This window comes from Homo sapiens, chromosome 5, assembly GCF_000001405.40.
Source record: "Homo sapiens chromosome 5, GRCh38.p14 Primary Assembly".
Taxonomy (NCBI): Eukaryota; Metazoa; Chordata; class Mammalia; order Primates; family Hominidae; genus Homo; species Homo sapiens.
Genome location: NC_000005.10, coordinates 140,919,628 through 140,939,454, shown reverse-complemented (window position 1 = coordinate 140,939,454; position 19,827 = coordinate 140,919,628). Strand labels below are relative to the sequence as shown.

Sequence of the window (19,827 nt, the reverse complement as noted above, 5' to 3'; positions counted from 1 at the left end):
AAATTTCACTCTTAATTCTTCAAATGCTTATGGAAGAAAAAAATGCTGATTTACACAAACTTGCTATGATCTGAATGTTTGTGTTCCCTCCTCCTTTGCAATCATAAGTTGAAATGCTAACCCCTAAGATTATGATATTAGGAGGTAGGGCTTTTGTAGAGATGATTAGATCACGAGGGCACAGCTCTCATAAAAGAGGTTCCAGAGAGCTACCTTGCTCCTTCCAGAAGGTGAAGAGACAGCAAGAAGGTGACATTCTGTTTTATGAACCAGGGAGTGGGCCATTACCAGACACAAATCTGCCAGGACCTTGATCATCAACTTTCCAGCTTCCAGAATTGTGAAAAATAAATTTCTATTGTTTTTAAGCCACCCAGTTTATGCTATTTTGATATAGCAGCCCAAATGGACTAAGACAACTCTTCCGAATAAGTAAAAGAAAAGTAACACTTCTTAACTTACTATATAAAGCCAGGATAGCCTTGATGCCAAACTCCGACTAGAGCATTATAAGAATGGAAAGTTAAAAGCCAATTTCTTGTGCGTGTGTGTGTGTGCGCATCTGTGTGTGTGTGTGTTGCTTCTTAACTTTTAAGTTCAGGGGTACATGGGCAGGTTTGTTATAACGCAAACTCATGTCACAGGGGTTTGTGGTACCGATTATTTCATCATTCAGGTACTAAGTCTAGTACCCAATAACTATGCCTTTAAAAATAATTATTTTTTTCTGTAGAAACGCGTTTCTATCATAAACATATATTTAAAAACTGTAAAGAAAATGTTAGGAAACTAAGTCTAATGATATAAAGAAGGATTATACATCATAAGCAACCTGAGTTTATTCCAAGAATGCAAGATTGGTTTATCATTAACAAATCAACCAATATAATGCATGCTATTAATAAAAGGATAAAAATCCATATTATCCATTCAATAACAGAAAATATGTGATAAATTCAATGCCTATTCATGATTTTTAAAAAACATAATAAATTAAAAAACAAAGGGAACTTAATAAATCTGATAAAGGATTTTTGCAAATAAACCCAATCAAACAATGTATTTCATATTAAATATTTAAAAACTTCCTCTCTGAGACCAGGAATAAGACAAGATTATCCATTAACATTACTTCTATTCAATTTTATACTGAATTTCATAGGCAATGACAGAAAGCAAGAAAACTATGTGATTAGAAAGTTTTTAAAAGACCAGGCATGGTGGCCTATGCCTGTAATCCCAGCACTTTGGGAGGCTGGCGTGGGAGGATTGCTTGAGCCCAGGAGCTCCAGACTAGCCTGGGCAATGTAGTGAGACTCTATCTCTATTTTTTTAAAAAAAGAGAGAAAGTAAAAAATACAATAATAAAACTAACATTATTTGGGAATAGCATGACAGTATATGTAGAAAACCCAAAATATAAAAATATGAGATTTTACTATTTAGCAAGAACATTGGATACAAAGTTAACATAAAATCAGTATTATTTCTATATACTTTCAACAAAAGCCAATTATCAAATTAAACTTTTTTTTTTTTTTTTGAGACGGAGTCTCACTCTGTCGCCCAGGCTGGAGTGCAGTGGCGCGATCTCGGCTCACTCCAAGTTCCGCCTTCCAGGTTCATGCCATTCTCCTGCCTCAGCTTCCCGAGTAGCTGGGACTACATACGCCCGCCACCACGCCCGACTAATTTTTTGTATTTTTAGTAGAGACGGGGTTTCACCGTGTTAGCCAGGATGGTCTTGATCTCCTGACCTCGTGATCCGCCTGCCTCAGCCTCCCAAAGTGCTGGGATTACAGGCGTGAGCCACCATGCCCTGCCTTTCTTTTTCTTTTTAGATGGAGTATCACTCTGTTGCCCAGGCTAGAGTGCAGTGACGCGATCCCAGCTCACTGCAACCTCTGCCTCGCAGGTTCAAGCAATTCTCCTGCCTCAGCCTCCTGAGTAGCTGGGATTACGGGTATGTGCCAACATGTCCAGCTAATTTTTGTATTATAAAATTAAACTTTTAAAATAGCATTAAAATATCAGCTATCTAATAAAAGTTGTGCAATACCCCTATATACACATACACACACATAAACATTAAGATAAAATAATAAAATAAATGGAAGAAGCCGGGCGCGGTGGCTCACGCCTGTAATCCCAGCACTTTGGGAGGCCGAAGCGGGTGAATCACGAGGTCAGGAGATCGAGACCATCCTGGCTAACACGGTGAAACCCCGTCTCTACAAAAAATACAAAAAATTAGCCGGGCATGGTGGCGGGCGCCTGTAGTCCCAGCTACTCGGGAGGCTGAGGCAGGAGAATGGCATGAACCCGGGAGGCGGAGCTTGCAGTGAGCCGAGACTGCGCCACTGCACTCCAGCCTGGGCGACAGAGCGAGACTCCGTCTCAAAAAAAAAAAAAAAAGATAAATGGAAGAATATACCTTGTTAATCGGTTGTCTGTCTCAATATTGTCAATGTTAACAAGCTTCATATTTTTATAGATTCAATAAAGATCAAAATAAGATATTTTCAATATACCCCATATTTTCTACAGATTCAATATAGTGCCAATTAAAATCAAAGCAGGGTTTTTTAAAATAGAAACTGAGAAGCTGAATCTACAATTTATATAGAAATGCAAAGGGCCAAAAATAGCTAAGTTAATCTTGAAGCAGAATAACAAAGTGAGAGAACTTACACAATTAGATATCAATACAAATGAAAAGTTACTATATTTAACACAGAATGTATTGGCACAAGAATAGACAAGTTGACCAATGAAACAGAATAGACAGTCCAGAAACAGAATATATAAAGTCACGTTGCTTATGACAAAGGTAGCACTGCACAGTAGCAGCGAGGAAAGTAGGCAATCTAACTGGATTTACAAGTGGAAAATATAAATCTTGACTTCTACATTGCACTATATTCAAAAGCAATTTCAGGTAATTTAAGATCTAAATGTGCAAGTTAAAACAAGAAAGCTTCCAGAACTACAGCAACCACTAAACAGATGTGGTTATTTAAGCTTAAATTAATTAAAATTAGTAACATTAAAAATTGAGTAGCCCAGTTTCACTAGCCACATTTCAAGTGCTCAGTAGCTACACATTCCATATATGCAGATAGAGAAAATTTATAGCATGTCAGAAAGTTCTATTGGATAGCAATGTTATAGAAGAAAACACAGGAATATATCTTCATGACTTGAAGCAGGATATGTTTTCTTTAAAAGGATAGAAAGAATACTAAATAAAAAAGACAACTTTGGCTGGGCGTGGTGGTTTAGGCCTCTAATCCCAGCACTTTAGGAGGCCAAGGCGGGCAGATCACTTAAGGTCAGGAGTTCGAGACCAGCCTGGCCAACATGGTGAAACCCTGTCTCTACTAAAAGTATAAAAATTAGCCGGGTGTGGTGGTGGGTGCCTGTAATCCCCGCTACTCGGGAGGCTGAGGTGGGAGAATCGCTTGAACCCGGGAGGCAGAGATTGCAGTGAGCCAAGATTGTACCACTTTACTCCAGCCTGGGCAACAGAATGAGAATCTGTCTCAAAAAAAAAAAAAAAAGATAATATTGATAAATTGGAGCTCATTAATTGCTAATCAAAAGACACCATTAAGCAGTATGGAATATGTGTAAATACTATACTACTATGAAATAATCTCGTTTATATTTTTAAGTGAAAAAACTCAAAGTGGGGAAGAATGTGTATTGTATGGAATAATAGATACTAGACTTCTCTAAATATATTTTGTTTTATAAGTTTATTTTGGAGCCATGTAAATATTTCACATAATTATAAAAGAAAATTAAAATTTAAAAAGCAAGCCCTAAATTTGAAAGCGACTTGAAAAAAGCCTAGCTCTGTATCTAGCTGGTGGCTTAACTACACAGAGAGGAACTTTTCCAAGATACTTTAAAACACAATAATTTGACTGTACATGCCTACTGGGCATTTGTAAGGATGTGCCTTATAAATGAAAAGAATGACAAAAACTTAAACTGCTACAGTATCATATTATTTCTGTAGTGCTGAAATTGTTTTCTAAGTCCATTGTTTGAGTCCCGTGGGATAACAAATGAGTAATTCTGTTGACGTTAATGAAAACTGGGATTTGACGTATGGGAGAAATAGGAATGTAAGATTGATGAAGTTAAGTAAAAACCTCGGAGTGCTGAACTTTATTAGATTAGTATAAACATGTGATGTATTTTATCTTTTAAAAAATAGACATCCCTTAGCTCAGTAGCTGAAGATACCTAGAAACAGCAACTGACCCAGCAGCAATAAGCACACCTGTTGTTGAGATTATATCTCTAAGTATCATCTTTCACTAAAAATAAGTGAAAGCTCTTTGAAAAATGGCTGATTCTGGGAAAGGAAATGTACAAGATAATCTGAACATCTTGTAATACCAGAAATCAAGGAAGCATTCAAAAGACTATTAAGACTCACATGAAAAGGATTCAGGGTGTTATCACTGGGGAAAAGTGGGTGACAAGCACATGGGATCTCTCTATACTAGTTTTGTAACTTTATGTGAATCCATAATTATTCCAAAATAAAAGGTTTAAAACAAGATACACAAACACACTCACAAAGACTCAGGAGCAAAGCTGAACAGTTCCCAACTTGCCAAAGTTAGCATAATTTGATCATTAAAAAGATAATTGACATGGATTGGGCCATATCAAATATGTTTAAGTCAATGAGTTCATAATGACACCTAAAAAAGGCCTTGGTCCTTTTTGTAAGATGGCCAGGAATCAATTCATTGTTTTGAATACTGCTAAACAAAGGGGAAGAATCAAACATTTATCCTGCCTTTCCTGTGTGAACTGTACCTCAGGCTAATCAAATAGTTGAAGACCCATTACAGAAATGTTACAATTAATTAAAAAAAAGAAGAAATGATAGAATTAGAACGGTAGCTCTCGAAGTGTGGTCTATGGACCCTTTGGGTGTTTATGAGGTGAATATAATTTTCAAAATAATGTTAAAACATTATTTGCATTTTTCACTATATTTACACTTGCATTGATAATGCAAAAGCATTGGTGGGTAAAGCTGGCCACCATAGAACCACAGAAGGAGTCAAAGCAGTGGCTCCACACTGTACTGGTGGTTATTACATTCATGATTGGACATTTGCAGTAAGAAAAATACCAGTAAGAATGCCCTTGATGAAGCACTGATTATTATTAATTTTGATAAATCTCCACAATTAAGTACAAATCTTTTAAACATTTTGTGTGAGGAAATAGAAATGAAAAGTATGTTTAGAGTACTTCTGTTGCACACTGAAATATAAACATATAAGGAAGGAAATAAATTAATAAAGTATGAAAATTAATAAAATAGAAAGCAAACATACAACAAAGCGAACCCAAAACACCAAAAGTTAGCCTTGGAAAGACTAATATCATTAATAAACTACTTCCAAGTCTAGTCAAGAAAAATGAGAGGTGACACTAACACCAGGATTGAAAAGGGAAACATCACTACAGATCCTGCAGATGTGAAAAAAAGTCACAACAGGACATTATAAACAACTTTATGCCAAAATATTCAAAAGTACAGATAAAACTAACATATATCTGAAAAAATTAAAGGTACAGGAATGAAATAGGAGCAATAAAAATACAAAGAAATTTGATCTCAATTAAAATTTTCCTACAAAGAAAACTGTAGGTACAGAGAGCTTCACTAGTGAATTCTACCAAATATTTAAGAAAGCTGTATCACCAATCTCAGTAAATGTGTCCGAGGAATAGGAAAAAAAATGTGAGAGAGACAGAGAGAGAGACAGGATTTCCAACTTGTTTAACAGGGCCAGCCTAACCTAATAAGAAAAGAAAAAGACAAATCAACCTAAAAACCCACTATTAAGACTTCTTAATTGGTTTTTATTTTATATTAACATTATTTTGAGTTTAAACAAAACAGCTGTAGTCTTTGCTTAACAATTCTAAAGAATAACCATAATGTGTTTGAATTCAGAGTATATTTTGAAGGTATGTCATTAGAGTGCCCCTATGAACACAGAATATCTGTAGATGGTAACCAGATGGCTCTAGGAACAGCCAAGGAATTTGGGATGGGTTAGAAATAAAGTGTTTATCTTTCTCTACAGCACAGGAGAATACGAGATTGCATATTTATTTCCAGATTCCAAAACAAGTTCCAAATGAATATATAATAACCTTTTGTGTTTATAGTCCTTTCTTTTTCATAAATGCAATATAACAGACATGTAATTTATTTATATCCTGAACCATTATCTTATGCCATCAATTAAAATTGGGAACAAAATGAGTGGCTATCTACCTTTATTATTTAGCTTTGTTTCTTAAGAACAACCTTTACCAACAAATTCCTTACTTCCCATAATACTTTAGTCAGGATCCTGGACTGTAATCCATATTCACTTGAAGTTCTGCCAAGTGTTAATATTTCCGATATTCATATGACATGCATTTGAGCATTGTAAAAACCTTTCAGCAATTTAGTCCACCTTCATTCCAACCTAGCTAAGTTAATTTAGTTGTTGAAATATTATTGTTTCCCTCTAACTGAAAATATTGAAGACAACAAAAGACAATAAGTCATTAACATTATGAGACACATTGTCAATACTTTCCCACTTATATGTTTCCAAGGTATTGCTTTTCTCTTATGTCCACTCAAATTATAATGTTCTTTTTCTTTCCTTTTTACTGATTTGAGGGTCTATATTATACAATATTATTGTGTTGTCTATATGAGTTTTTTAATTTGAATATATTTCATATGTCATGCAAACTTCCTTAGTTTCATCATTCTAAAGTTTTTTAGTGTGGTTATCAGCTTCAAAGTCAAAATAGATATACAAAACATCTAATTACCCTATGGGAAAGTCTACTTGTGGAATGTATGTTAAATAAAGCACCTTGAATGCCACAAACATTCTACTACTGTTAACAAATGACATTGCAAAGAGGAGATATCCTATTTCCTATATACCCTGGCAAAAAAGAAGATGCTTTAATTCCAGGTGAACAATACACTAATATAACATTGGTATGTTGAAACTATGTATAACTTTCATGTGGAAATTTAATAAGGCCAGTTGTATGGTAAGTGTTTCATGCATTTTTGCTACATTAATATATTTATACCTTTAAAAATTGTCAATGCAGTTTTTAATAAGTAGAAATTTATATCTCAGAGGTACCCTCTTAGATACCATTCTAAAAAATTTAAATTGCCCATCAAGAATATTAACAGAAAAAAATGGACATGAGGTACACATTGTCTAATTGTTATACAATCAGTGAATCAATTTTGTTTATATCTTAAATATTATCAATTGGAAATACAGAGATAAAAACCATGTTTTCCTGAATTTCTTAAACTGATAATTTTTAGTATTACAGGCTATGTTAATATATACTGTAAACTTACCGTAAACTAAAATGAAAGAACTTAGAATTTGAGCAAAATATAAACACATATGCATCAACATGATTCTGTAAGACTCAGACACACATTATAATCATTGTTAAATGTCATGCTTTTCAAATGATTTGAAATAAAATGAAAGCAATAAATATTTTATTTCTAGAATCCTGTTGTTATTAAGGCATTCAGGATACTATGACAAGAATTCTTTTCTAAAGAATTAAGATCAGATCAATAGGTAATTGAACAGGAAGAAGTAAATAACAAATGCCTTTGTGAATTACAAATACCCCATATTTATAGAAGTTATTTTATTCATGGTTTTATGAATCACAATTCATTTATTTATAAGGAAATATCCAGCCCACAACAATTATTAGCAGACCAATGAGCTACCTAAAAAGCAAAATATCAACAATGATGGAAAAAGACTGTTCAACTGAATGAATGGGATGGTACAATATTCCTGCACATATGAACAGTATATCTCTATTATTTTGTTAATCATTCATATATGTTTAAAAATTTGGTTTGAAGGGTTGTTTTTTCCTCTGTCATTCCTATATTTTTCCTTTTAAATAGCTAATTTTCCTTCTAACTTCTAGATTCATCAGCCTTCCTATCGCTTACTTATGTTTCCTTTCTAGTCTAGTGAAAATGTGTTTCTAAAAAAAATTCCTCACTCCCAAACTTTACAGCCATTACTGGTATTCTCCTCTCTTTTTGTTACAGAAAGCAATGAAAATAAAAGAAATAAATAGTGAAATTTCTTGGTAGGAAAAGTGTTCACATATTAAGTGCTCTGATACCTGAAATACTAGCATTGTAGTGCACCAATTTCCTTCCCTAAAATTAACTGAGATTCTATTAAATAGTATCCACTGCAAATATCACAATGTAATGATGTGCATACCTATTAATTCCTTTGTCATCTGTAGAACTGGACTCATACTTAGTCCCAGACACAGCATTGAAGTTTTTCTTGCTAGCTCTACAATCAGAAAATTCCTCTGTTATGTTATTAGTGTAGGTCATGAGGAAGAAAATAATCATTGAAACAGTACATTTGAAAGTGACCTTTAAACTGTTAACCACATATACACATCTAAAGTAGAAAAGTAAGTTAAAGTTTTTCCCTCTGTGTTGAACAGTGTTACCATCCAATTCATATATGCACATATTTATTCATTCAGTCAGCATTTACTAAGCATATCTTATATGCTGGATTCTATTATATTGTGAAAATATTAAGTACAGAAAATTTTAACATATGTAAATTTATTTTATTTGCAGTTAACATCATTACTTGAGGAAGAATAACTTACAAGCCACTTTTCCCCTTATTGCCTAGAATAGTAAAACAAGGAATGCTTCATTTTCCTTCCTTAATTTCTACACACCTCCTTCTCTTGCATCTAGGATTTCTATGAGAAGTCAAAAAGTAATACCGTAGAATTGCTTCAAAATGTTGTCCTAACTGCACTCAAGAAGTTTGAGGGCCAGCTGCAGTGGCTCATGCCTGTAATCCCAGCACTTTGGGAGGCCTAGGTGGGAGGATCACTTGAGGCTAGGAGTTTGAGACCAGCCTGGGCAACATAGTGAGACCCCTGTCTCAAAAAAAAAAAAGAAGTTTTGAAATGCCAAGGGCCACTAACAGATAAATTGAAATATTTGAATCACTTAACTTTCATTAGATACATTACTCTCAAATATGATATTTACTTATTTGTTAAGTGTATTTGTCCCCTAAAATAAAAGAAATTAAATCCAAGTTGAATGGACTTTGGATGGTAAGTGCACCTTTGAACACATAAATATTTCTGACATAAAAATTACTCATCTTTCCTCTTTGTAAAATATTATCAATAGAAACACAAAACAAAAGGTTGTCAAGTCCTATATCCAACAATATGATCTCCTATCAGTATAAATAGATGTTATGAGAGAGGCTTACAGTTTTTGTGTAAGCAAAAACTCCAAAGCAGTTACAAAACACTGCTATGGAGCTATCAGCTATGTTTTAGGGTGTCATTCCCAAAGAAGACACCTTCACCAAAATGGTATTCATTAAAAGTATAGGCTAGAGAATACACTGTTTTTTATTAAATGGTATATCGTATTAAAGATCCAACTAAATCTGTGATCTCTATCACAAAGCCTTCTCTGACTCCTTCCTCCTCACTCAAATGTTCTCTTATGTTCCCTTTCTCCCTTCTTTTAACCCCCATTGTAATTTATTTTTACATCTTTTGTGGTTATCGTCATCTTTTAATAATGCATTGCAATAGTTTAAGTAAATGTTTCACCTTCCATATTATATTCATATAAAGCAGACTCTTACATATTTTTCATTCTTCACTTTAAATATTAGAGTGCCTTACACATCTGTTGCTTATAAAATATTTTGGTATTTTATTTTTAATTTTAGACCTTTATGTCATATTACTTTTATTGTTCTTAAATAGGTTTTAATTTTTGCCCTTGTTTCTCAAAAATAAACTATAAGTCCCTTGAGGCCTAGGGCAATCTTCTAATACTTCTATACTTCCAGATTTCTTGGCACAGGAAGTGCTAAGAAGGAGTGTTTAGTTCAATTGATGAAATGTTGTGAAAGGCTTGTCTAAGAAATATTTCAAAACACAGCTAGCAGCCATCTCCGGGCCAAAGGAATCAAATTCCATAAAATTTGCTTACCATGGCATTGACATTAGCGTGATCCCCTTTCCTATTCCGAATCTGAATACAGGATATTGGCAAATTCAGTCCTACCCCAGTGGCAAGATTTCGCAGGTCGGCAGCATTGTACTCCCCACGCAACAGCAAACTGTTATTATCAGAACCAAGTCCCAGAGAGGCCCGATAGAGATAAGTCTGAGAAAGTCTCTCAACTGTAGTGACATCTATGGTGGCTGATGTCATGCAAGGATTTGAAACCATCTTACTTCCATACCTCAGATCCTCTGTAGAGCGACAGCAGCTCTGAGCGCAACAGCCTGGGCTCTGGTGCAACTTGGTACACACGAAGAAAAGTAAGCACCCCAGAAATAAAAAGGAAATACAAGCCAAGGCAATTACTAAATACAAGTTCTGGGCAGAAAGCTGCCCTCCTGGTTCCCAGACATCTTCAAAGTCTGGAAGTAACTGAGGGACAGAGTTGCTCAACAGCACACCCAGAGTGACAGAGGAGGAAAGTGGTGGGTCTCCATGGTCCCGAACCACTACCACCACCCTCTGCTTAACTGCATCAGTGGGAAGAACTAAGCGAGCAGTACGGAGCTCACCTATATTGGCTGAAATTCTAAAGAGACTAGAGTCAGACGCCCGGGAGATGTGGTAGGAAAGCCAGGCATTAGAACCACTGTCAGCATCCTCTGCTACCACTTTTGTGACCAAGTGTCCAGTCCTGGCAGAGCGGGGCACAATTTCCACTGGGACAGAACCATTTCTGGGCAAGGGAAACAAGATAACCGGATAATTGTCATTCCTATCTACCACAAACAAGTTTATAGTCACTGTTGCACTTCTGGGAGGAATGCCACCATCCCGGCCTTCTACTTGGAAATGAAACCCCCTGAGCTGCTCAAAGTCAAAGGAAGTTTTGGCAGTGATGGCCCCACTGGATGATTCCACTGCCAGCAAGCTAGAGGCTGATGGCCCTTCAGAGATAACATCCAACAGCTCATAAGAGACAAGGCCATTCTTCCCCAGGTCGGGGTCCTGGGCAAACACTCGGCCTAGAGAGGCCCCAGGGCCATTGTTTTCAGCAACGAAAAGTTCCTGCTGGGGTTGAGGAAAGTTTGGTGTATTGTCATTCACATCAGCAACTGACACAGTGATTGTCCTTCGGGTGCTAAGTGGGGGTGAGCCACTATCTGAGGCCGTGATCAGGACTTGGTATTCACTGATCTGCTCCCGGTCCAGGGGCCCATCAATCAGCAGGCTGTAGTAGTTGTCAAAGGAAGCCGTCAGCTGAAAAGGGCCTGCACTAGACATGCCACAAATGACCCTACCATTAGAATCGAGGTCTTCATCCTTTACACTAAAGAGAGCAATCACTGTGCCAGGGGCAGCGTCCTCAGGTACTGGGTTCGAAAGAGTCAGGAAGTCCAGTTCGGGGGCATGATCGTTCACGTCAGTCACCTCCACCAGCAGTTTAGCGGTGCTAGCTAAACCAAAGACACCTTCGTCCCTCGCCTCAATGTATGCCTCCAAGAGCGTTTCAGGCGGACCTAGTGAAGCAGCTACTTGCACCTCCCCACTTTTAGGGTGCACGTGAAAGCGGTGTCGCAGCTCTGCTTGCGTGCTGTTGCTTAGGGAGTACTGGACTTCCCCATTGGACCCTTCATCTGGATCCAAGGCTTGAACTCGGAATAACACAGTCCCATTGGGTGCAGTCTCTGGAACCTTGGTGCGGTATACGGAGCGCTCAAATACAGGCGCGTTGTCATTTGTGTCCACCACAATGATGGTGACTTGTGCGTCTCCTGAGCGGGCAGGTAGCCCGCCGTCCCGAGCTGTAAGCACCAGCAGGTGGGTGGCGCGCTGTTCGCGATCCAGTGCTTTCTCCAACACCAACTCCGGGTATTCGCTGCCGTCAACCCGCGATCCCATGTCCAGGCGAAAGTGCTGACTGGGGCTTAGGCTGTAGCTTAGTATCCCATTGCTTCCCTCGTCGTCATCTTGGGCATTCGGGAGAGTAAAGCGGGCTCCGGGCGTCAGGAACTCGGGGATGTGCAGCTGCACGTCGCCGGCAGGAAAGAGAGGTGAGTTGTCATTGGTGTCCAGGACGTGAATCCGAATCTTGTGCAGCTCCAGCGGGTCCTCGAGCACCAGGTCGTAGGTCAAGACGCAGGCAGCTTTGGCCCTGCACAGCTGTTCGCGGTCCGCCGGCTCTCTGACCACCAAATTGCCGCTGGGTAGATCCACCCCGAAGTAGAGCTCGCGGTGGCTGGAAAGGAAGCGAAAGTTCCGCGAGGACATAGCGGCCGCTGGCAGCCTCAAGTCCGCGGAGAGATTGCCTACGGCTACGCCCCGCTCCGTCTCCTCCGGCACTGAGTACTCGAGCTGTCCCGCTGCAGCGCCGCAGGAAACCCACAAACATAAAACTGCCACCCCACAGCCCACCATCCTCCCTCTAGGCGTCCACGTTCCACCAACACGCTACACCAACGGTGACCCAGGACCATGCTCCGGACTCCTGGAGAGCACGAGCCGCGGGGAAGAGCACGCTCCTGCCGGCCGTCACTGCTGCGGGCTGGATACTCAGCGACCGCCGACGTTGCGCCTCCCGAACGCCGGCATTGCCGGGGCTGGCCAGCTGGGAGCCGGGCTTGCTAGGCTGGAGGCTGGGCAGCCGTCTGGGAAAGCGGAGCCGGCCGGGTGTTGAGGAGCGCAGCGCCGCCTAGGGGTGCAGAGACGAGGCCGCCCGCCCGGGCGCGAGAGGTGCTGTCTCCAGTAGCAGCGGGCTGGGGTCTCGACCACCACGCTGGCTGCGGGCGCAGGGCGGAGCCTGGGAGACGCCCCGAGACACTAACACTTCTCTCCTTAAACGGTGTTTTCTAGGACAACGCCCTGAGGCTGCCCAGATCTTAACCTCCACATCCTCTGCCCGCAGATTGCTGATAACTGTGGCTGAGCCCAGCTGGGCTCTTCCTGCCGCCCTTTGGGAGCCGCGCGTCGGGTCCCGGCGCTCTGACCCCGGCGCACCTCTCCGGCGGAGAGGGCGGGACTCAGCGTGGAGCTGCCGAGCGGAGGCGGCGAGAGGCGGGACGGTGAACGTGAGCGACCACACCTTCTAGGCTTAAGGAAACAGGAGCCCCCCGAAAGAAGTGCTGCGGGGGGCTTTCCGCGCTGGATCCTGCTGCAGAGCTTTCCGCGCTGGATCCTGCTGCGGGTTGAAGTCTGTCCTGCACCCTCTTGTATCCCAGGAGCTGCCAAGAGGGCAATAGAGACGACAAGGAGGGGAAGAAGGTTGGGGAATAGTGTCCGCATCAAACTGCCTCCGGACTCTGGCTTTTCGAGGCAGCGGAGCCAGCGAGCTCAAGGCTTTTTTTTTGCGTGATAGCAGTTTCTCCTTCTCCAAGAGGCTCTACTTGGGAGTGCTTTGCAAACGGCCCTTGACGATCTGGGTGAAAGAGGAGGTTATAAACCAGTCAATAGCAATAACTAGAAACTCAAAGACTTGACGACCCGTCCCCAAAGAAGACGTGAGAAGTGGAGGGGAAAGTACTGAGATACTCATTAGAGTTTGACCAGGAAACTACTCTGTAAATTTTCTTTCTGTAAATATTTAGAAAACACCATGAGGCAGGATAAGAATAGGCTAGATACCCACCCTCGCTTTATTATTATTATTATTATTATTATTATTATTATTATACTTTAAGTTCTAGGGTACATGTGCACAACGTGCAGGTTTGTTACATATGTATACATGCGCCATGTTGGTGTGCTGCACCCATTAACTTGTCATTTACATTAGGTATTTCTCCTCGCTTTTAATTTGGTCTTTTGCGTGGATATTGGGACAGTGATCAGTTCTATGAGAAACATCTCTGAGCCACAACAGATACACCCAAATTCTGCCTAACACCCTACAACCAGTTCCTTTCCCTAAGAAGGAGGCGAGCCAAAAGGAGACTCATTGACTATTGACTATGAAGCACTAAATTCCTCACTCAAATCCTTCTTTTAATACAGGTGCAATATGTCCAAAGCCCCAATAATGAAACATTTGAAAGGCAAAATCTGAACACAGATCAAGAATTAAAGTTTCCAGGACATATTTTCTGGTAGAAACCTGCCTAAAAGTATCGATAATTATTGAAGCTGGGTGATGGTACATTGGGGTCAATTACACAATTCTCTCAACTTTTGTGTATGTTTGAAATTTTTTTTCCTTCCTTCCTTCCCTCCTTCCTTCCTTCCTTCCTTCCTTTCCAGATGAGCGTGTTGCTTTGTTGCCCAGTCTGGTCTCAAACTTCTGGGCTCAAGCGATCCTCCCATCTTATCTCAGCCTCCTAAAGTGCTAGGATTACAGACATGAGCCACTGCACTCACCTTGCATTTTTTTTTTAACTTTTTATTTTATTTTATTTTATTTTATTTTATTTTATTTTTTTTTTTGAGACAGGTTCTTGCTCTGTCACCCAGGCTGGAGTGCAGTGGCACGATCTGAGCTCCCTGCAACCTCCCCCTCCCAGGTTCAAGCGATTCTCTTGCCTCAGCCTCCTAAGTAGCTAGGACTACAAGCGCGCACCACCATGCTCGGTTAATTTTTGTATTTTTATTAGAGGTGAGGTTTCGCCATGTTGCACAAGCTGGTCTCGAACTCCTGACCTCAAGTGATTGGCCTGCCTCGGCCTCCCAAAGTGCTGGGATTACAGGTGTGAGCCCCATGCCACCGCACCTGGCATCAGCCTGCATATTTCTATAATATTTGAAAACATTTAAAAATTGCTGATTAAAATGGTGGGGAGAGGGGTAGCTCGGGCATTCTCTTTTTAACACTAAGAGTGGGATTGATAATGCCAGTGTTCCACTAAAAACCAGTTACCTCCCTAAACACACAAACCCATTCGTTATCTCTTCTAGGGAACTAGAAAGGGCACACTGTGATATAAGGCAATATAAGTAGTAAATACCCCTTGGCTAGTTTGCCTTTTTGAATTAAGAAACCAAAAAATCATTGACACCAAGTCTCAGATAAAATTAAAGGAGGAAACATGTCAGCCTATTAGGTAGTCACAAGTACAGACCTCATTAGATCTCACCAGGATGCAAAACAGCCCATAAAAATTGAACTTATTCTTCACCAAATTTCTAAACCAAAACTAATTTTCTGCTTCAGTGCCAGAGATTAGGATGTGCATTTCTTCATTTTAAATTAATGCTGCTAAGCAAGCTAACTGCTTTGGAATGAAAATTTATTCTTTCTGCCTTAAACAGATGAAATACAACTGTAAAGATGTACCGAACTTTTAGGTCTGCAGCCATGCCTCCAATTATACCAGGTTTAGGAATTCTGAGCTGCACCTAGAGGGATAGTATGTGTGGGTATAGATTAGGGCGTGAGGAAAAAAGGAAAAATGCATACAGAGAACAGTATGGGAAATCTTCACAGAAACTCCTCCTCTTTCACACGCTTCTCAGATTTTTGGCTTCCCTTTTTCCCATTTCTCTATTTAAACTGCCACTGACGTCTATTTTCAGAAGATTTCATTTGTGAAAAGAATGAAGAAACCATCCACCCAGTAGGATTTGTCCCACCATATGCCTCCCTAACTTTTGGCATAACATTGCATTCTTATTCAAGTAAATTGGGATTTGTGAGAAAGCAACATTTAAGAGAGAACGATATCCCAAAGATAAGGGAGGCTAAAGATTTTTGCCTTTTGGATAAGATGACCAGATAAACATTAAAATTATGAATTAACAAACCTTCTCTTTAGCAGGACCTTTCATTGCTGATATTTCATTTTGTCCTTTTTTTGGGACAGAATCTCACTTCATCATCCAGGCTGGAGTGCAGTGGTGTGAAGATGGCTCACTGCAGCCCCTACCTCTCTGGGCTCAGGTGATCCTCCCACCCCAGCCTCCCAAGTAGCCAGGATTATAGGCACACACCACCATGCCCAACTAATTTTTAAAAATATTTTATAAAGATAGGGTCCCACTATGTTGCCCAAACTGTCCTTGAACTTCTAGGCCAAGCGCCCCCACGCCCAGCTAATTTTTAATTTTTTGTAGAGACAAGGTCTCACTATGTTGCCCAGCTGGTCTCAAACTTCTGGGCTCAAACGATCCTTTCACCTTAGCCTCCCAAATTGCTGCAGTAGATGCATCTGAACAAAAATTTATCTTTCTATAATTTTTTTTATATTCCACCTTCAAAGTGTGACCCTAAAAACTTAAAATCATACTCCCATTGGTCAAATAAGTGCTGACATGAGGAGACCTAGCTCTTTTATTCTAAATACTATACATGTAGTAATAGAGTCCGAAACTGCAGTCCAACAACCATTCTCATGGCTTGCCTATTGTCTGAGATATGCCACTGGCTGAAGACAAACTGGATTTCCATTGCTGGAAGTAAAAGTCTGAAGTTTATTTGTATCTCAAAATTTTTTCTTGAATGATGTCTTTGGATTTTTTCCCCTTGTCTATGTATTTGGTCTCTTTGAGGACATCTATTAGCAGTATGCTGTATCTCCTTTTTCTGTATTCCAAAGCTACAGTTTTCTCTCCAGTTCTTTTAAATTCTTTATTTTTTTCCATTTATTTTTCTCAACCTTGTCAAGTGTTTCTTTTTGTTCTTGACTGTATGGAAGCAGAGCCTGTTCACTTTTTTACTGCTTGCAGTATAGCCATATTTACTGTTTGATGGAGTGGCTTATGTGTACCATAGTTTTAATATATCTTCAACTGATGAGAACTGGCGGCTACAGGGCAACTTGTCATCCTGACTTTTCTCCTTACCTTGCCACATCCTTAGGTTCAATCTTGAAATAATGGTGCATCTGCTCACTCTCAGATTTAGTCCTGCCTTCTCTCCTATTTTGTGTTGACAAATAGGATAATGAGAGAGTTCTGCCCTCAGCCTCTGTACCTAGATCTTTTTAATCCAAAACAAGGAGTCTTTGGTTTTGCATCTCAGTGAGAATCACTACTCTAGAAAATACCAATATACCAACCCTTTCCAAGATCTTCAGTGAAAGGTATCCTCTCCTAGCATTTTCATATCTTGGTCCAATCTTCATGGCACTTAGTAACTTATCTTCATACACATCATGGTTGAGGTTCAAATGTTTTACAAAGTTTCATTAAAGATAAGACTTTTTTTTTGTCTGCTGTACTTTTTGTTGTTTTTGATGAGTTTCATGGAGGATAAGAGACATTTAAAGGTGAATTTTCATTTATCTATAGTTGGTAGAAATACCACTTTTTGCTTAGTGGGATTGCTACATTTTGAAGGTATGTGGGAAAATTACATTTTTTATATTTATTTTTTTAAACTAATCATTTCATTGAACTCTTTTTTAGTTCTATTTTTTCCTTTGGTTTTCTGGGATTTTACAAGTGTAAAATTATATTGACTATAAGTTTTATCATGTAATATATATTTATCCTCCTTTCTAAAATCTTATATATATACTGTATATATACACACACATCTATAAATATGTCTATATGTGTATAGATATTCACACATGTATCTTATCTTGTGTTATCTAGAACATCCAAGTCAGTATTGAATAGTAGCCAAGAAGTGTCCTGTTATGCTTATAATTTTTATGGGAGTAATTCGTGTGTTTACTGTTTAAAATTGAGGTGGCCAGTGTTTGATGATAACTGTTAAATTTTTATTAAGTTCCCTTAAAATAGCTACCATAATGATGATCTGATGATATTTTTCTTATTACCTTTGAAACCATAATATAGTATGAGCTCTACTATAACATAATAGAGCTTTTTTTGCAGAATGTTCTATCAGCAGATTTTTATTTCAGGTTAGGCACTATCTAATAAACTAATCTCAGGTAGAGTGGTTTGGTAGTGGTTGCAGGCCTCCCTTTTCAGACACCATTGAAGAAAATTTTTGTCTGCAGCACAGAGGAAAATCTAGTGTGAATGTTTATCAAATATGTAGAAATATGAAACTTGAATATAGGCAAATATATTATGTGATTGGACCAGACAGATTAGCTCTTAATACAATGGCATTCAGCAAATTTGAGGTTTTTTTCAAGTAAGTATAAAAGTCTAGGACTTTTTGATCTGTGGCTTAATATCATCTAGCAAAAAAGACGTGAATTATCGTTGTCAATCTATTGTGAAAAAACTGTGCTTTATGTGTGTTAAAAAAAAAATGCATTAGCTGGGTGTAGTGGTGTGCACCTGTAGTCCTAGCTACTTAGGAGACTGAGGCAGGAGGATTCTCTTGAGCCCAAGAGTTCAAGGTTAGAGTGAGCTATGATTGCCCCACTGCACCCCAGTCTAGAAAACATAGCAAGACCCTGACTCTGAAAAAATAAGCAAATACAATATTATACTCTAGTACTACATGTGTAGTGTTTAGAATGAAAGGGCTAGATCACCTACTCTTGGAACTGATTTGAGAACCAAAATATGACTTTAAGTTCTAAGGGCCACAGTTTGTTTGTTTTTTTTTTTTTTTTTAGATTTGGTCTTGCTCCGTCGCCAGGCTGGAGTGCAGTGGCGTGATCTTGGTTCCCTGCAACCTCCACCTCCCAGGTGTAAGCAATTCTCCTGCCTCAGCCTCCTGAGTAGCTGGGACTGCAGGCGCACACCACCATGCCAAGCTAATGTTTGTATTTTTAGTAGAGATGGGGTTTCACCATGTTGGCAAGGATGGTCTCAATCTCTTGACCTTGTGATCCATCCGCCTCGGCCTCCCAAAGTGCTGGGATTACAGGCGTGAGCCACTGCTCCTGGCCTAAGGGCCACACTTCGAAGGTGAAATAGAAAACCTGAGTCTAACGAATTGCATAAAACAGTATGTAGAACTCTATTGTTGGACCAAAAACATACAGAAATATAACAAATTTGTCAATTACAGTATAAAAGAGGTGTGTGGGAGAACAGCTGTATCTGATTAAAAAAAGACACCAGATGGTAATATGAATCCACAAGAATAAATGAATAGAACTAGCAATGACAAATAAGAAATGCCATAAATATATAATTTTCTCCTTTTTTCTCTTAGTGCCTCTAAAAAATATAAGATTACATAAAGTAATAATTATTATAGCGATGTATTGTTGGGTATATAATACTATAAATGTGCATTGGTTTTCTGTGGCTGCTGTGACAAATTACTACACACTGGGTTGCTTAAGACAGTTTTTCTCCCAGGTTTGGAGAGGAGAATTAAAACTCAAGATGTTGGCAAGGTTGCACTCCCTTTAGAGGCTCTACGGAGAATCTGTTTCTGCCTTTTCCAGGTGTTGGTGGCTGTTGACATCACTCCAATCTCTGTCTCCATCTTCGCATGGCCTTTTCCTCTGTGTCTGTTTTCCATCTTCTATCTCTTATTTAAAAAACAAAACAAACTTTTCACTGGAATTAGCCCCCACCTGAAAATTTAGGGTAATTTCATCCCCAAATCTCTAATATAATTATGTCTTCAAAGACTTATTTCCAAATGAGGTCACAGGTTCCAAAGGTTACTATGTGGACATATATTTTTGAGGCCCACAATTCAATCCACCACAAGATGTAATATGTGTAACAGTAATACAAAAGGCAGAAGAGAAATAAAGCTATCTAGAAGTAACATATTTATATCTCACTAGAATTAAGTTAATATAAATCTGAAGCAGATACCAATAAGCTAAAATATATATGGTAAACTCTAGAGAAACTACTGTGAA

General features: G+C 39.0%; 14 protein-coding genes and 1 further gene across 18 annotated transcripts in view, besides 2 other annotated features; all 15 read right to left on the bottom strand.

Moving 5' to 3' along the window:
* The window catches only part of PCDHAC1 (protocadherin alpha subfamily C, 1), an 86,049-nt gene extending 72,893 nt beyond the window's left edge, over nt 1–13,156 (bottom strand). Inside the window, exon 1 of one of the 2 annotated variants that reach the window (NM_018898.5) lies at nt 10,130–13,156. In NM_018898.5, the coding sequence (NP_061721.2) occupies nt 10,130–12,562 (2,433 nt within the window). In that variant the 5' untranslated portion in view covers nt 12,563–13,156. Of the gene's footprint in view, nt 1–9,942 lie in introns of those variants that run through there. The other variant, NM_031882.4, reaches the window with a different exon arrangement.
* The window catches only part of PCDHA@ (protocadherin alpha cluster, complex locus), a 226,209-nt gene that overhangs the window by 72,890 nt on the left and 133,492 nt on the right, over nt 1–19,827 (bottom strand).
* PCDHA1 (protocadherin alpha 1) overlaps nt 1–19,827 on the bottom strand; it is a 226,208-nt gene that overhangs the window by 72,893 nt on the left and 133,488 nt on the right. The gene's annotated exons all lie outside the window — the stretch shown is intronic.
* PCDHA2 (protocadherin alpha 2) overlaps nt 1–19,827 on the bottom strand; it is a 217,496-nt gene that overhangs the window by 72,893 nt on the left and 124,776 nt on the right. The gene's annotated exons all lie outside the window — the stretch shown is intronic.
* Nucleotides 1–19,827, bottom strand: part of PCDHA3 (protocadherin alpha 3) — a 211,291-nt gene that overhangs the window by 72,893 nt on the left and 118,571 nt on the right. The gene's annotated exons all lie outside the window — the stretch shown is intronic.
* The window catches only part of PCDHA4 (protocadherin alpha 4), a 205,280-nt gene that overhangs the window by 72,893 nt on the left and 112,560 nt on the right, over nt 1–19,827 (bottom strand). The window lies entirely within an intron of this gene.
* PCDHA5 (protocadherin alpha 5) overlaps nt 1–19,827 on the bottom strand; it is a 190,735-nt gene that overhangs the window by 72,893 nt on the left and 98,015 nt on the right. The window lies entirely within an intron of this gene.
* Nucleotides 1–19,827, bottom strand: part of PCDHA6 (protocadherin alpha 6) — a 184,388-nt gene that overhangs the window by 72,893 nt on the left and 91,668 nt on the right. The window lies entirely within an intron of this gene.
* The window catches only part of PCDHA7 (protocadherin alpha 7), a 178,079-nt gene that overhangs the window by 72,893 nt on the left and 85,359 nt on the right, over nt 1–19,827 (bottom strand). The gene's annotated exons all lie outside the window — the stretch shown is intronic.
* PCDHA8 (protocadherin alpha 8) overlaps nt 1–19,827 on the bottom strand; it is a 171,161-nt gene that overhangs the window by 72,893 nt on the left and 78,441 nt on the right. The gene's annotated exons all lie outside the window — the stretch shown is intronic.
* PCDHA9 (protocadherin alpha 9) overlaps nt 1–19,827 on the bottom strand; it is a 163,966-nt gene that overhangs the window by 72,893 nt on the left and 71,246 nt on the right. The window lies entirely within an intron of this gene.
* Nucleotides 1–19,827, bottom strand: part of PCDHA10 (protocadherin alpha 10) — a 156,451-nt gene that overhangs the window by 72,893 nt on the left and 63,731 nt on the right. The window lies entirely within an intron of this gene.
* PCDHA11 (protocadherin alpha 11) overlaps nt 1–19,827 on the bottom strand; it is a 143,391-nt gene that overhangs the window by 72,893 nt on the left and 50,671 nt on the right. The gene's annotated exons all lie outside the window — the stretch shown is intronic.
* Nucleotides 1–19,827, bottom strand: part of PCDHA12 (protocadherin alpha 12) — a 137,040-nt gene that overhangs the window by 72,893 nt on the left and 44,320 nt on the right. The window lies entirely within an intron of this gene.
* PCDHA13 (protocadherin alpha 13) overlaps nt 1–19,827 on the bottom strand; it is a 130,224-nt gene that overhangs the window by 72,893 nt on the left and 37,504 nt on the right. The gene's annotated exons all lie outside the window — the stretch shown is intronic.
* Nucleotides 10,943–11,454: an enhancer, noted in NCBI's record as "NANOG hESC enhancer chr5:140307586-140308097 (GRCh37/hg19 assembly coordinates)". NCBI's record gives its function as "activates a minimal SCP1, AML or CMV promoter by ChIP-STARR-seq in naive H9 embryonic stem cells {active_cell/tissue: H9 hESC(naive)}" and the evidence as "EXISTENCE:reporter gene assay evidence [ECO:0000049][PMID:30033119]".
* Nucleotides 12,016–12,573: an enhancer, noted in NCBI's record as "H3K4me1 hESC enhancer chr5:140306467-140307024 (GRCh37/hg19 assembly coordinates)". NCBI's record gives its function as "activates a minimal SCP1, AML or CMV promoter by ChIP-STARR-seq in naive H9 embryonic stem cells {active_cell/tissue: H9 hESC(naive)}" and the evidence as "EXISTENCE:reporter gene assay evidence [ECO:0000049][PMID:30033119]".